General features: G+C 42.2%; 1 protein-coding gene across 10 annotated transcripts in view; it reads left to right on the top strand.

The window, feature by feature from the left end:
* MPP3 (MAGUK p55 scaffold protein 3) overlaps window positions 1–4,943 on the top strand; it is a 32,336-nt gene extending 27,393 nt beyond the window's left edge. For all 10 annotated transcript variants that reach the window (NR_148345.2, NR_003562.4, NR_148342.2 and 7 more), the window contains one exon: window positions 3,877–4,943. Coding sequence is in view for 5 of the 10 variants with exons in the window: in NM_001932.6 (NP_001923.2) it covers window positions 3,877–4,053 (177 nt within the window). In the remaining 5 variants the exon portion in view is untranslated. The remainder of the gene's footprint in view (window positions 1–3,876) is intronic.
* Window positions 4,944–13,923: the final 8,980 nt, after the last annotated feature.

Below are 13,923 nucleotides of genomic sequence, written 5' to 3'. Positions count from 1 at the left end.
TGTCACTATAAATTTGTCTATTCTAAACATTTCATATAAATGGATTCATGCAATGTAAGACCTTTTGTATCTGGCTTTTTTCACTTAATATAATGTTTTTAAAGTTCATTCATGTATCAATACTTCATTCTTTTTTTATGGCTGAATAACATTCCATTGTATAGAGTACCACATTTTGTTTACCCATTTATCGATTAATGGACATTTAGATTGTTTCTACCTTTTCAGCTATTATGAATCATGTTATGAATGTTCATATACAAGTTTTTGTGTGAACATATGTTTTCATTTCTCTTGGGTGTATACCTTGGTATGGAATTGCTGGGTCATAGGGTAGTTCTATGTTTAACTCTACCATGGCAGCTGTACCATTTTACATTCCCAGCAGCAGTGTTCAAGAGTTCCCATTTCTCCACATCCTCACCAGCCCTTGTTATTGTCTGTCTTTTTAATCATAGCACTACTAGTAGGTGTGAAGTGGTATCTCATTGTGGTTTTAATTTGCATTTCTCTAATCATCAGTGAAGTTGAGCATCTTTTCATGTGTTTATTGGCCATTTTTATATCTTTCTTGGAGAAATGTCTGTTCAAATACTTTGTCCATTTTTAAATGTCCATTTTTTGTTATTGAGTTGTAAGAATTCTTTATCTATTTGGATACAAGTCCCTTGTCAGATGCATGATTTGCAAATATTTTTTCCCATTCTGAGTTGTCTTTTCACTTTCTTTTTTTTTGAGACAGAGTTTCGTTCTTGTTGCCCAGGCTGGAGCGCAATGGTGCGGTGTTGGCTCACTGCAACCTCCAGCTCCCAGGTTCGAGTGATTCTCCTGCCTCAACCTCCAAGTAGCTGGGATTACAGGCGCATGCCATCATGCTCGGCTAATTTCCTTCGTATTTTTAGTAGAGATGGGGTTTTACCACGTTGGCCAGGCTGGTCTCGAACTCCTGACCTGGGTGATCCACCTGCCTCGGCCTCCCAAAGTGCTGGGAGGCACCACGCCTGGTCCTTACTTTCTTGATAGCATCCTTTGAGGCATAACATTTTAAAATGTGATAAAGTCCAATGTATCTATTTTTTCTTTTGTCATTTATATTTTTGGTGTCATATCTAAGAAATCATTGTCGAATCCAAGGCCATAAAGATTTACTCCTTTGTTTTCTTTTAAGATATTTATAGTTGTAGCAGTTACATTTGGATCTGTCATCTATTTTGTGTTATTTTCTGTGGATTGTCTGAAGTAGGGGTCCAACTTCATTCTTTGCATGTGGATAGCCAGTTACCCCAGCATCACTGGTTGAAAAGACTATTTTCTCATTTAATTATTTTAACACCCTTGTCTAGAATCAATTGGCAAGAAAAGTAAGGGTTTCTTTCTGGAGTCTCAGTCCCATTCCATTGGTCTACATGTCTATTCTTAGGCCAGCACCACACTGTCTTACTTTGATTACTAGCTTTGTAGTAAGTTTTGAAGTCAGGTTTTTCAAGCTTGTTTTGGCTATTCTGGGTCCTTTACATTTCCATATGAATTTTAGGATCAATCTGCCCATTTGTTTTACTATATTGGCTTTGTTTTGTTTTGCAAATATTTCAGGATTGAATAAGCAGGGGGAAATGGCTCATTTTTCAAAGAGTCAAGAAGTCACTGGGAGAATAAGAGGCAGCTTCCTAGGACTCAAGGCCAAATCATCAGGTCCACAGGCAGTGCCAGCTTTCTAGGATTCAGAACCCTCCCTGGCCCATGGTTGTTATTTCAAGAGAAGCAGCTGCATTCTATTCCCAGTGTCCTTCCAGCCTGGCCGGTTTTGTCATCTATCCCATCTCCTTTATTGCCCACCAGAATGCTGCATTCCAAGCAGGTGGGCTGATGATGAAATGCAGCTGGCCCGTTCATGCTCCACCACACTGCAGCTGTGAGTAGGCAGCAGGGTCACAGTGAGGCTGTTCAACACAGAGTCCCCGGTTCTACTCCCAGAGATTCCGACCTAGGGGGTTTGGAGTGGGGCCCAGGCACTCCATTTTTAACACACAGCCTTTCATGTGGTTTTGATGTATGTTGGCAGACCCCAGATGACATTTGGAGAAATTCCTCACAAAGGCATGGGTTTTGTGTAACTTTAAATATCTGTCCATTGTCTGGCACCTGAGTTCCTGGTAGGGGACCCAAAACATCCTCTGTTTCCTTGCTGACCACAAGTTAATGGGGCTTCTGGCTTCTGACCCGGCAAAGCTGATCCAACCTGGGGGTGACGGACAGCACAGGGGAATCTTTCCTATGTGATCTTCGGGACTGTGACTCTTGCTGAAGACACAGGTGGGCGAGTTCCATCGTTACAGGCCAGGAAAGGAGTTCAGGGGATTTATGACTGCTAAGCAAATGTCACACGTTTTTACTCCATTAGAGATTTACTTAAGTTCTTTCCAGATGCAGATATTTATTAGGTAGATTGTGGTTCTTTGTGGCAAAAATTTTCCTTCTGTAATTTCTCAAATAGCCAAATGCTTCCAGGATGAACCGTGTGGGTGCCTGGAGGAGGGGAAACTGGAAGCAGCAGACAGGTCTATAGGATGGGTGTGTGTCAGGGAGTGGGGAAGGTGGGGTTGAAGATCCGGGGGCAGTTACGGGATAGGGCTTCTGAGTATGAAAGTAGCCCTGCAAGAATATTCTATATAGAATATAGAATTGAGAAGTGTCTCCCAATTTAATCGAATTTTTTCCCTCCTGGAGGAGAAAAGGAGAAGAAATTATCTCAGCCTTCTCTTACATTTCTACTATCTTTGAAGTAGCATGCCAAACCCTTTTCCTGGATCTTGAGGACTCGAATCCTGAAATTTCAGATGCTCTCACTAATGTAGGAATTGGGTTTTGACTGGTGACAGAGAAGAGGGGGGAATATTTGGAATGTAGGTCTCTTTGGGAGAGAACAGAACTCACCCTTTCCCTGTGGCAGCATGAAAACACTGAGCCCCTAGAAGCAGAGGGGAGACAGCAACAGAGAACTAAAAAGGGCAGTGAGTGAATGCCAGCGACAAATTTTATTTTGTAATTTTACTTAGAATGGGCCTGCCACTTTCCTGTTTTCCAAAACCAGGCTAATTGTCAGACAACTACTCACTTGAAATAATACTTATTAGAGGTTCTTTTGAATGAAGATGCAAACAGTGCCCACATTGTGTAAGATGGAGTTGTTGCCTATACCTTAATGTTAAGTGTCAGAAAAGCAATCTGATTAAAGAGATCAGCTGCCCTAAGGAAATGGGGAATTTGATTAGAATTGTCCAGTGCTTTCTTAAATAACTCCACTTTGCTGTGCTAGTGTTTGGCTCTGGTGTGAGGAAGTGAATTGAGTTCTGCACTGTGAATTTAGGAGTCTTCAGGAGGGCATTAGAATGATTTCTTCTCCTTCTTCCACCAGTTGATTGCAGAAATGTTTGCTCTGTTTTTATATAGTTATTATTTATAGTTCTTTCTTATAATTATTTAACCTGTGTACTGAATGTCATGCGGCACAATACTACTACTTCTTTGGAAGTACTTCTGAGGCAGGAAGTGTGATATTAGCATATATACACAGTTATAGAATCAGCATCCCCAATGCACTTCCTATCGTGGCTTTGAGTTCATAGGTCCTCAGGAGGTATTCTGTGAGTGAATGACTGAACAGTGATTGTGTCTACTGCCCATTAACTTTCTTTGAAGTTTGACATGATGTTGTCCCTATGCTCTGTTCTTGTGTACACAGTTGGTTATCAGTGGGACCTAGTCATCCACTCATCACTTAAAAGTTAAAGGTTGGAACATTGCTCAAGACAAAGGTTATAGGTTTGTTATAGGAGAACAACCCAGTTGCTCCTTTTACCACCCCTTTCCTTGCAGGATGAGCAGCAGCAAGAGATGGCCGCTTCTGCCGCCTTCATAGACCGGCATTACGGGCACCTGGTAGACGCCGTGCTGGTGAAGGAGGATCTCCAGGGTGCCTACAGCCAGCTCAAAGTGGTCTTAGAGAAGCTGAGCAAGGACACTCACTGGGTACCTGTTAGTTGGGTCAGGTAACTTTATCCCAGAACATCCAAGCTGGACGGGACCTTGAAGATCATCTAGTCCAGACTCCCTCATTTTACCATCAAGGAATCTCAAGCGCAGAGAGGGAGAGAATTCTCCACAAATTCCATCATCGAGAAGAGTATAAGTGGGAAGTCTTGTTTGTTGTTGGTTTTTGTCTGTTGTTTTTCACTGCACCTCTTTGGATCATGATTTGAAAGGGGCATATCAGAAAACAACACATTTCATTTATTAAAGTATCACAGGCAAGCTGACCCTGATTCTTTGTACCAAAGTTAAGTAGCCACTGTCTTTTGTGGGTGGTAGTGGTTAATTTATACAGTACTGATTCGCAGAATGTTTAAGCTTTTTAAACATAGTGACGCTTAGTAGTTTTTTTGGAAGCTAACTTGTTTTATCCAAGGGGATTTTACATGTAACTGAAGTTCCCCTGTCTTCAAGCACTAAAACGTTGATCTTAACCTTTTTTTTGAAGTGCTTGCCTGGTAATAGAAAACGGGTTCTCTGCCTATTTTAAAATAGTGAATATACGTAAATTTTCTCTGGAAGGCTGAGGCACACTTCACCATCAACATGAATTACTGTACTATCCTGTACTGCAGTGGTGCCTTCAGGGACTCGAGGAATGTAAGGTTGCCTTTCCCCTTTCTAAATACCCTCAGATTCCTAACATCGAGCCCATGCTTTGTTTGATTTGTTCTATTCCATCCATTGTCCCTTTTGTTACTGACAGTTGCCTTGGTCCTAGCCAGTCCCTGCCATGAGATCATAGGGGTTCCCATTGTGCTAGATCTTGGGAAACCAGATGACTCTCCCTGTCAAAACTATGGCTACGTCACTGTAAACCATTTCTGTCAAGAATAAAAGTATGTAGACCCAGAGTGTGGGCCTAATGGGTTGTCTCTGAGCAAAAATGATTATCACCCAGGATTCATGATATATCTTAGGTGCTCAGAGAATTTTTTTTTATTATTAATAGCCAGCAACAGTCTTTATTCTGTGCTGGATGCTATGCTAAGGCCTTTACATACATTACCCTGATAAATACACCAAGCCAATAAGGTAGGATTCTTATCATCTCATTGTACAAACGAGAAAAAAAATAAAGCTTAGACAGTTTAAATAATGTGCCCAAGCTTGCACAGATTTAAAAAAAAAATTGCAGGCCAGGCACTGTAGTGCATGCCTATAATCCTAGCACTTTGGGAGGCCAAGGTGGGTGGATTGCTTGAGTTCAGGAGTTCGAGACCAGTCTGGGCAATGTGTCAAAACCCCATTTCTACAAAAAATACAAAAACTAGCCGGGCATGGTGGTGTGTTCTTGTAGTCCCAGCTACTCAGGAGGCTGAGGTGGGATGAACGAGGAGGTTGAGGCTGCAGTGAGCCATGATTACACCACTGCACTCCAGCCTGGGTGACAGAGTGAGACCCTGCCTCAAAAAATTTTAAAAATTAAAAAATGCAGAGCTATGGTATTTGAGCCTAAATCGCCCAAATACCAGAGATGATCGTTAACCACTATACTATACTGCCTCATTCTTTTGTGGTCCCATAATCGAGGCTACTCACTAATATAATTCACTTATAAATGATGAATGTGTTTACAGCTAGAATTTATAATATGAAGTGTGACCATAACTTCTAAGACTGAAAAGAGGCTACATACACGTGTACATTTTCAACTTCTTTTACTCATGAAAGGAAAAGGAGGCCAAGTTGAAGGTGAAGCACCAGGGAGAAGGTTTGCCACCCATTTAGAAATTTCCATTTTACCTTCTACACAAGGATACCTTTGCAACGCTCTAGCTCATGAACTGGTAGGTCCACGTAACAGGATCACATTCTTCAGAACTTTCTAGTAAAAAGATGGGGACTTCTTTACACTTAGAGAGTATTGGATTCTTATCAAGTGAAATTGGTCTTGAGCTGATCTACAGAGAGCCAGGCCAGGGAGGGCAGCTGCCCCTGAAGTGTGACCAGCACATGCAAAGTTGTTATGCAGGATAATGCCTGTAATCCTAGCACTTTGGGAGGCTGAGGCAGTGGATCACTTGAGGTCAGGAGTTTGAGACCAGCCTGGCCAAAATGGTGAAACCCCGTCTCTACTAAAAAAAAAAAAAAAAAAAAAAAAAAAATTAGCTGGGCATGGTGGCGGGTGCCTGTAATCCCAGCTACTTGGGAGGCTGAGGCAGGAGAATCACTTAAACCTGGGAGGCAGAGGTTGCAGTGAGCCGAGACCGTGCCACTGCACTCCAGCCTGGGTGACAAATGAGACTCTGTCTCAAAAAAAAAGTTGTTATGCAGGAGAGCTGGGATCTGAAGTCTGCTCACAGGCAAAAGCAAAACAAACCCACATACGTTAAAAATTACTTTTGAAGATCCCCTCAGGAGGCATCATGGTGGACATCCTAATCAAGTCTCAAAGCCCCATGTAGGTGGTTTTCCCTCCAGTGTGGGAACACAGTGGTTGGGCACCCAATGATGTTCTTTCTGCATTTTATACCACTCCACAGGCATTTTCTGCTGCTTACATAATATTTTTACACAATTGTCAGATTAAATGATGGTAATTCTCTTTACATGTATTATGAAGCAGAGTATTAAAAAGTGATCCTTAGCCAAGTGTGGTGACTCACGCCTGTAATCCCAGCACTTTGGGAGGCCGAGGCAGGAGGATCACTTGGGCTCAGGAGTTCAAGACCAGCCTGGGCAACATAGCAAGACCTTGTCTCTATTAAACATAAAATTAGAGCCAGCAGCATTGGCTCACGCTTGTAATCCCAGCACTTTGGGAGGCTGAAGTAGGCAGATCACTTGAGGCCAGGAGTTTGAGACCAGTCTGGCCAATATGGTGAAACCCTGTCTCTACTAAAAATACAAAAATTAGCCAGGCATGGTGGCACACGCCTATAATCCCAGCTACTCGAGAGGCTGAGGCACAAGAATTGCTTGAACCTGGGAGGCAGAGGTTGCAGTGAACCAAGATCATGCCACTGCACTCCAGCCTGGGCAACAGAGCAAGACTGTGTCTTAAATAAATAAAAACAATAAAATAAAAATTTAAAAATTAGTTGGGGGGGTAGGTTCCAAGATGGCCAAATAGGAATAGCTCCAGTCTGCAGCTGCCAGCATGAGCGATGCAGAAGATGGGTGATTTCTGCATTTCCAGCTGAGCTACCAGGTTCATCTCACTGGGGCTTGTCAGACAGTGGCTGCAGCCCATGGAGCAGGGCAGGGCGTCACCTCACCCTGGAAGTGCAAGAGGTCAGGGAATTCCCTTTCCTAGCAAAGGGAAGCCGTGACAGACGGTACCTGGAAAATCGGGACACTCCCACCCTAATACTGCACTTTTCCAACAGCCTTAGCAAACGGCACACCAGGAGTTTATATCCCGTGCCTGGCTCAGAGGGTCCCATGCCCATTGAGCCTCGCTCACTGCTAGCACAGCAGTCTGAGATAGAACTGCAAGGCAGCAGCGAGGCTGGGGGAGGGGCGTCCACAATTGCTGAGGCTTGAGTAGGTAAACAAAGCAGCCTGGAAGCTGGAACTGGGTGGAGCCCACTGCAGCTCAAGGAGGCCTGCCTGCCTCTGTAGACTCCACCTCCAGGGGCAGGGCATAGCTGAACAAAAGGCAGCAGAAACTTCTGCAGACTTAAACGTCCCTGTCTGACAGCTTTGAAGAGAGTAGTGCTTCTCCCAGCATGGAGTTTGAGATCTGAGAACGGACAGACTGCCTCCTCAAGTGGGTCCCTGACCCCCGAGTAGCCTAACTGGGAGACACCTCCCAGTAGGGGCCGACTGACACCTCATACAGCTGGGTGCCCCTCTGAGACAAAGCTTCCAGAAGAAGGATCAGATGGCATCATTTGCTGTTCTGCAATATTTGCTGTTCTGCAGCCTCCGCTGGTGATACCCAGGCAAACAGGGTCTGGAGTGGACCTCCAGCAAACTCCAACAGACCTGCAGCTGAGGGTCCTGACTGTTAGAAGGAAAACTAAGAAACAGAAAGGACATCCACACCAAAACCCCACCTGTACGTCACCATCATCAAAGACCAAAGGTAGATAAAACCACAAAGATGGGGAGAAACCAGAGCAGAAAAGCTGAAAATTCTAAAAATCAGAGCGCCTCTTCTCCTCCAAAGGAATGCAGCTCCTCGCCAGCAATGGAACAAAGCTGGACAGAGAATGACTTCGATGAGTTGAGAGAAGAAGGCTTCAGATGATCGGTAATAACAGACTTCTCCGAGCTAAAGGAGGATGTTCAAACCCATCGCAAAGCAGCTAAAAACCTTGAAAAAAGATTAGACGAATGGGTAACTAGAATAAACAGTGTAGAGAAGTCCTTAAATGACCTGATGGAGCTGAAAACCATGGCATGAGAACTACATGACGCATGCACAAGCTTCAGTAGCTGATTTGATCAAGTGGGAGAAAGGGTATCAGTGATTGAAGATCAAATGAAGGAAATGAAGCGAGAAAAGAAGTTTAGAGAAAAAAGAGTAAAAAGAAATGAACAAAGCCTCCAAGAAATATGGGACTATGTGAAAAGACCAAACCTACGTCTGATTGGTGTACCCGAAAGTGATGGGGAGAATGGAACCAAGTTGGAAAACACTCTTCAGGATATTATGCGGGAGAACTTCCCCAATCGAGCAAGGCAGGCCAACATTCAAATTCAGGAAATACAGAGAATGCCACAAAGATACTCCTCGAGAAGAGCAACCCCAAGACACATAATTATCAGATTCACCAAAGTTGAAATGAAGGAGAAAATGTTAAGGGCAGCCAGAGAGAAAGGTTGGGTTACCCACAAAGGGAAGCCCATCAGACTAACAGCGGATCTCTTGGCAGAAACTCTACAAGCCAGAAGAGAGTGGGAGCCAATATTCAACATTCTTAAAGGAAAGAATTTTCAACCCAGAATTTCATATCCAGCCAAACTAAACTTCATAAGTGAAGGAGAAATAAAATCCTTTACAGACAAACAAATGCTAAGAGATTTTGTCATCACCAGGCCTGCCTTACAAGAGCTCCTGAAGGAAGCACTAAACCTGGAAAGGAACAACTGGTACCAGCCACTGCAAAAACATGCCAAATTGTAAAGACCATCAATGCTAGGAAGAAACTGCATCAACTAACGAGCAAAATAACCAGCTAACATCATGATGACAGGATCAAATTCACACATAACAATATTAACCTTAAAAGTAAATGGGCTAAATGCTCCAATTAAAAGACACAGACTGGCAAATTGGATAGAGTCAAAACCCATCAGTGTGCTGTATTCAGGAGACCCATCTCACGTGCAGAGACACACATAGGCTCAAAATAAAGGGATGGAGGAAGATCTACCAAGCAAATGGAAAACAAAAAAAAAGCGGGGGTTGCAATTCTAGTCTCTGATAAAATAGACTTTAAACCAACAAAGATCAAAAGAGACAAAAAAGGCCATTACGTAATGGTAAAGTGATCAACAAGAAGAGCTAACTATCCTAAATATATATGCTCCCAGTACAGGAGCACCCAGATTCATAAAGCAAGTCCTTAGAGACCTACAAAGAGACTTAGACTCCCACACAATAATAATGGGAGACTTTAACCCCCCACTGTCAACATTAGACAGATCAATGAGACAAAAAAGTTAACAAGGATATCCAGGAATTGAACTCAGCTCTGCACCAAGCGGACCTAATAGACATCTACAGAACTCTGCACCCTAAATCAACAGAATATACATTCTTCTCAGCAGCACATCACACCTATTCCAAAATTGACCACATAGTTGGAAGTAAAGCACTCCTCAGCAAATGTAAAAGAACAGAAATTATAACAAACTGTCTCTCAGACCACAGTGCAATCAAACTAGAACTCAGGATTAAGAAACTCTCTCAAAACTGCTCAACTACATGGAAACTGAACAACCTGATCCTGAATGACTACTGGGTACATAACGAAATGAAGGCAGAAATAAAGATGTTCTTTGAAACCAATGAGAACAAAGACACAACATACCAGAATCTCTGGGACACATTTAAAGCAGTGTGTAGAGGGAAATTTATAGCACTAAATGCCCACAAGAGAAAGCAGGAAAGATCTAAAATTGACACCCTAACATCACAATTAAAAGAACTAGAGAAGCAAGAGCAAACACATTCAAAAGCTAGCAGAAGGCAAGAGATAACTAAGATCAGAGCAGAATTGAAGGAGATAGAGACACAAAAAACCCTTCAAAAAATCAATGAATCCAGGAGCTGGTTTTTTGAAAAGATCAACAAAATTGATAGACCGCTAGCAAGACTAATGAAGAAAAGAGAGAAGAATCAAATAGACGCAATAAAAAATGATAAAGGGGATATCACCACTGATCCCACAGAAATACAAACTACCATCAGAGAATACTATAAACACCTCTATGCAAATAAACTAGAAGACCTAGAAGAAATGGATAAATTCCTGGACACATACACCCTCCCAAGACTAAAACAGGAAGAAGTTGAATCCCTGAATAGACCAATAACAAGTTCTGAAATTGAGGCAATAATTAATAGCCTACCAACCAAAAAAAGTCCAGGACCAGACAGATTCACAGCCGAATTCTACCAGAGGTACAAAGAGGAGCTGGTACCGTTCCTTCTGAAACTATTCCAATCAATAGAAAAAGAGAGAATCCTCCCTAATTCATTTTATGAGGCCAACATCCTGATATCAAAGCCTGACAGAGACACGACAAAAAAAGAGAATTTTAGACCAATATCCCTGATGAACATTGATGCAAAAATCCTCAATAAAATACCGGCAAACCAAATCCAGCAGCACATCAAAAAGCTTACCTATCATGATCAAGTTGGCTTCATCTCTGGGATGCAAGGCTGGTTCAACCTATGCAAATCAATAAACGTAATCCATCATATAAACAGAACCAAAGACAAAAACCACATGATTATCTCAATAGATGCAGAAAAGGCCTTCGACAAAATTCAACAGCCCTTCATGCTAAAAACTCTCAATAAACTAGGTATTGATGGGACGTATCTCAAAATAATAAGAGCTATATATGATAAACCCACAGCCAGTATCATACTGAATGGGCAAAAACTGGAAGCATTCCCTTTGAAAACTGGCACAAGACAGGGATGCTCTCTCTCACTATTCCTATTCAACGTAGTGTTGGAAGTTCTGGCCAGGGCAGTCAGGCAAGAGAAAGAAATAGAGGGTATTCAATTAGGAAAAGACGAAGTCAAATTGTCCCTGTTTGCAGATAACATGATTGTATATGTAGAAAACCCCATCATCTCAGCCCAAAATCTCCTTAAGCTGATAAGCAACTTCAGCAAAGTCTCAGGATACAAAATCAATGTGCAAAAATCGCAAGCATTCCTATACACCAATAACAGACAAACAAAGAGCCAAATCATGAGTGAACTCCCATTCACAATTGCTTCAAAGAGAATAAAATACCTAGGAATCCAACTTACAAGGGATGTGAAGGACCTCTTCAAGGAGAACTACAAACCACTGCTCAACGAAATAAAAGAGGACACAAACAAATGGAAGAACATTCCATGCTCATGGATAGGAAGAATCAATATTGTGAAAATGGCCATACTGCCCAAGGTAATTTATAGATTCAATGCCATCCCCATCAAGCTACCAATGACTTTCTTCACAGAATTGGAAAAAACTACTTTAAAGTTCATATGGAACCAAAAAAGAGCCCGCATTGCCAAGACAATCCTAAGCCAAAAGAACAAAACTGGAGGCATCATGCTACCTGACTTCAAACTATACTACAAGCCTACAGTAACCAAAACAAAATGGTACTGGTACCAAAACAGAGATATAGACCAATGGAACAGAATAGAGCCCCCGGAAATAATATCACACACCTAAAACCATCTGATCTTTGAGAAACCTGACAAAAACAAGAAATGGGGAAATGATTCCCTATTTAATAAATGGTGCTGGGAAAACTGGCTAGCCATATGTAGAAAGCTGAAACTGGATCCCTTCCTTATATCTTACACAAAAATTAATTGAAGATGGATTAAAGACTTAAATGTTAGACTTAAAACGATAAAAACCCCAGAAGAAAACCTAGGCAATACCATTCAGGCCATAGGCACGGGCGAGGACTTCATGACTAAAACACCAAAAGCAATGGCAACAAAAGCCAAAATTGACAAATGGGATCTAATTAAACTAAAGAGCTTCTGCACAGCAAAAGAAACTACCGTCAGAGTGAACAGGCAACCTACAGAATGGGAGAAAATTTTTGCAATCTACTCATCTGACAATGGGCTAATATCCAAAATCTACAAAGAACTTAAATTTACAAGCAAAAATCAAACAGCCCCATCAAAAAGTGGGCAAAGGATATAAACAGACACTTCTCAGAAGAAGACATTTATGCAGCCAACAGACACATGAAAAAATGCTCACCATCACTGGCCATCAGAGAAATGCACATCAAAACCACTATGAGATACCATCTCACACCAGTTAGAATGGCGATCATTAAAAAGTCAGAAAACAACAGGTGCTGGAGAGGATGTGGAGAAATAGGAACACTTTTACACTGTTGGTGGGACTGTAAACTAGTTCCACCATTGTGGAAGACAGTGTGGCGATTCCTCAAGGATCTAGAACTAGAAATACCATTTTACCCAGCCATCCCATCACTGGGCATGTACCCAAAGGATTATAAATCATGCTGGTATAAAGACACATGCACACATATGTTTATTGCGGCACTATTCACAGTAGCAAAGACTTGGAACAACCCAAATGTCCATCAATGATAGACTGGATTAAGAAAATGTGACACATTTACACCATGGAATACTATGCAGCCGTAAAAAAGGATGAGTTCATATCCTTTGTAGGGAAATGGATGAAGCTGGAAACCATCATTCTGAGCAAACTATCGCAAGGACAGAAAACCAAACACTGCATGTTCTCACTCATAGGTGGGAATTGAACAATGAGAACACTTGGACACAGGGTGGGGAACATCACACACCAGGGCCTGTCGTGGGGTGGGGGGAGGGAGGAGGGATAGCATTAGGAGATATACCTAATGTAAATGACGAGTTAACGGGTGCAGCACACCAACATGACACATGTATACCTTTGTAACAAACCTCCACGTTGTGCACATGTACCCTAGAACTTAAAGTATAAAAAAAAAAATTAGCTGGTCATGGTGGTGTGCCCCTGTGGTCCCAGCTACTCGGGAAGCTGAGGTGGGAGAATTGCTTGAGCCCAGGTAGATGGAGGCTGCAGTGATCTCTGATTGCACCACTGCACTCCAGCCTGAGCAACAAAGTGAGACCCTGTCTCAAAAAAAAAAAAAAAGTGATCCTTGCTTTATTTCCTGTCAAGGCAGCCCCTAATCCCCAAGACAAGCTGTGTCTACAGCTGTTTGTTGGCTACCAGATTTATGGGAGTAGGAAGGGTAGGACCCCAGAGACAGAGGTCATTTGGAAGGCATTTTTGCAGTTCATGCAGAAAACTATTGTTAAAAAATGCACCTGTGTTCAAATATTTATTGGTGGAATGTGTGTAAATGTAATTCCAAGCCCCATCTCAACTAGCAGTCCATATGTTCTGAGCCCCTGGGCAAAATGTTGGAAAAACTCCATCCATTACTCTGGGCCCAACACTAATAAATCTCCTTATTACAAACCCCTCAAGATGGACCTTTTTTAATCCTTGGGTCTTCAAACAGATAAGTTGGCTGCCTGTATCTACAGCCAGAGAGGATGTGCTCTCTAGAGGAATTTTCTAGGTCGGAAGTGTTAAATAGGTGGCATATGTGCAGCCAACGCCCATTCCTGAACCGGTGGAAGACATTACTAAT

This window comes from Homo sapiens, chromosome 17 (genome assembly GCF_000001405.40).
Source record: "Homo sapiens chromosome 17, GRCh38.p14 Primary Assembly".
Classification (NCBI taxonomy): domain Eukaryota; kingdom Metazoa; phylum Chordata; class Mammalia; order Primates; family Hominidae; genus Homo; species Homo sapiens.
Note: the sequence above shows the minus strand (reverse complement) of the source record. Positions and strands in the feature narration are given on the sequence as shown.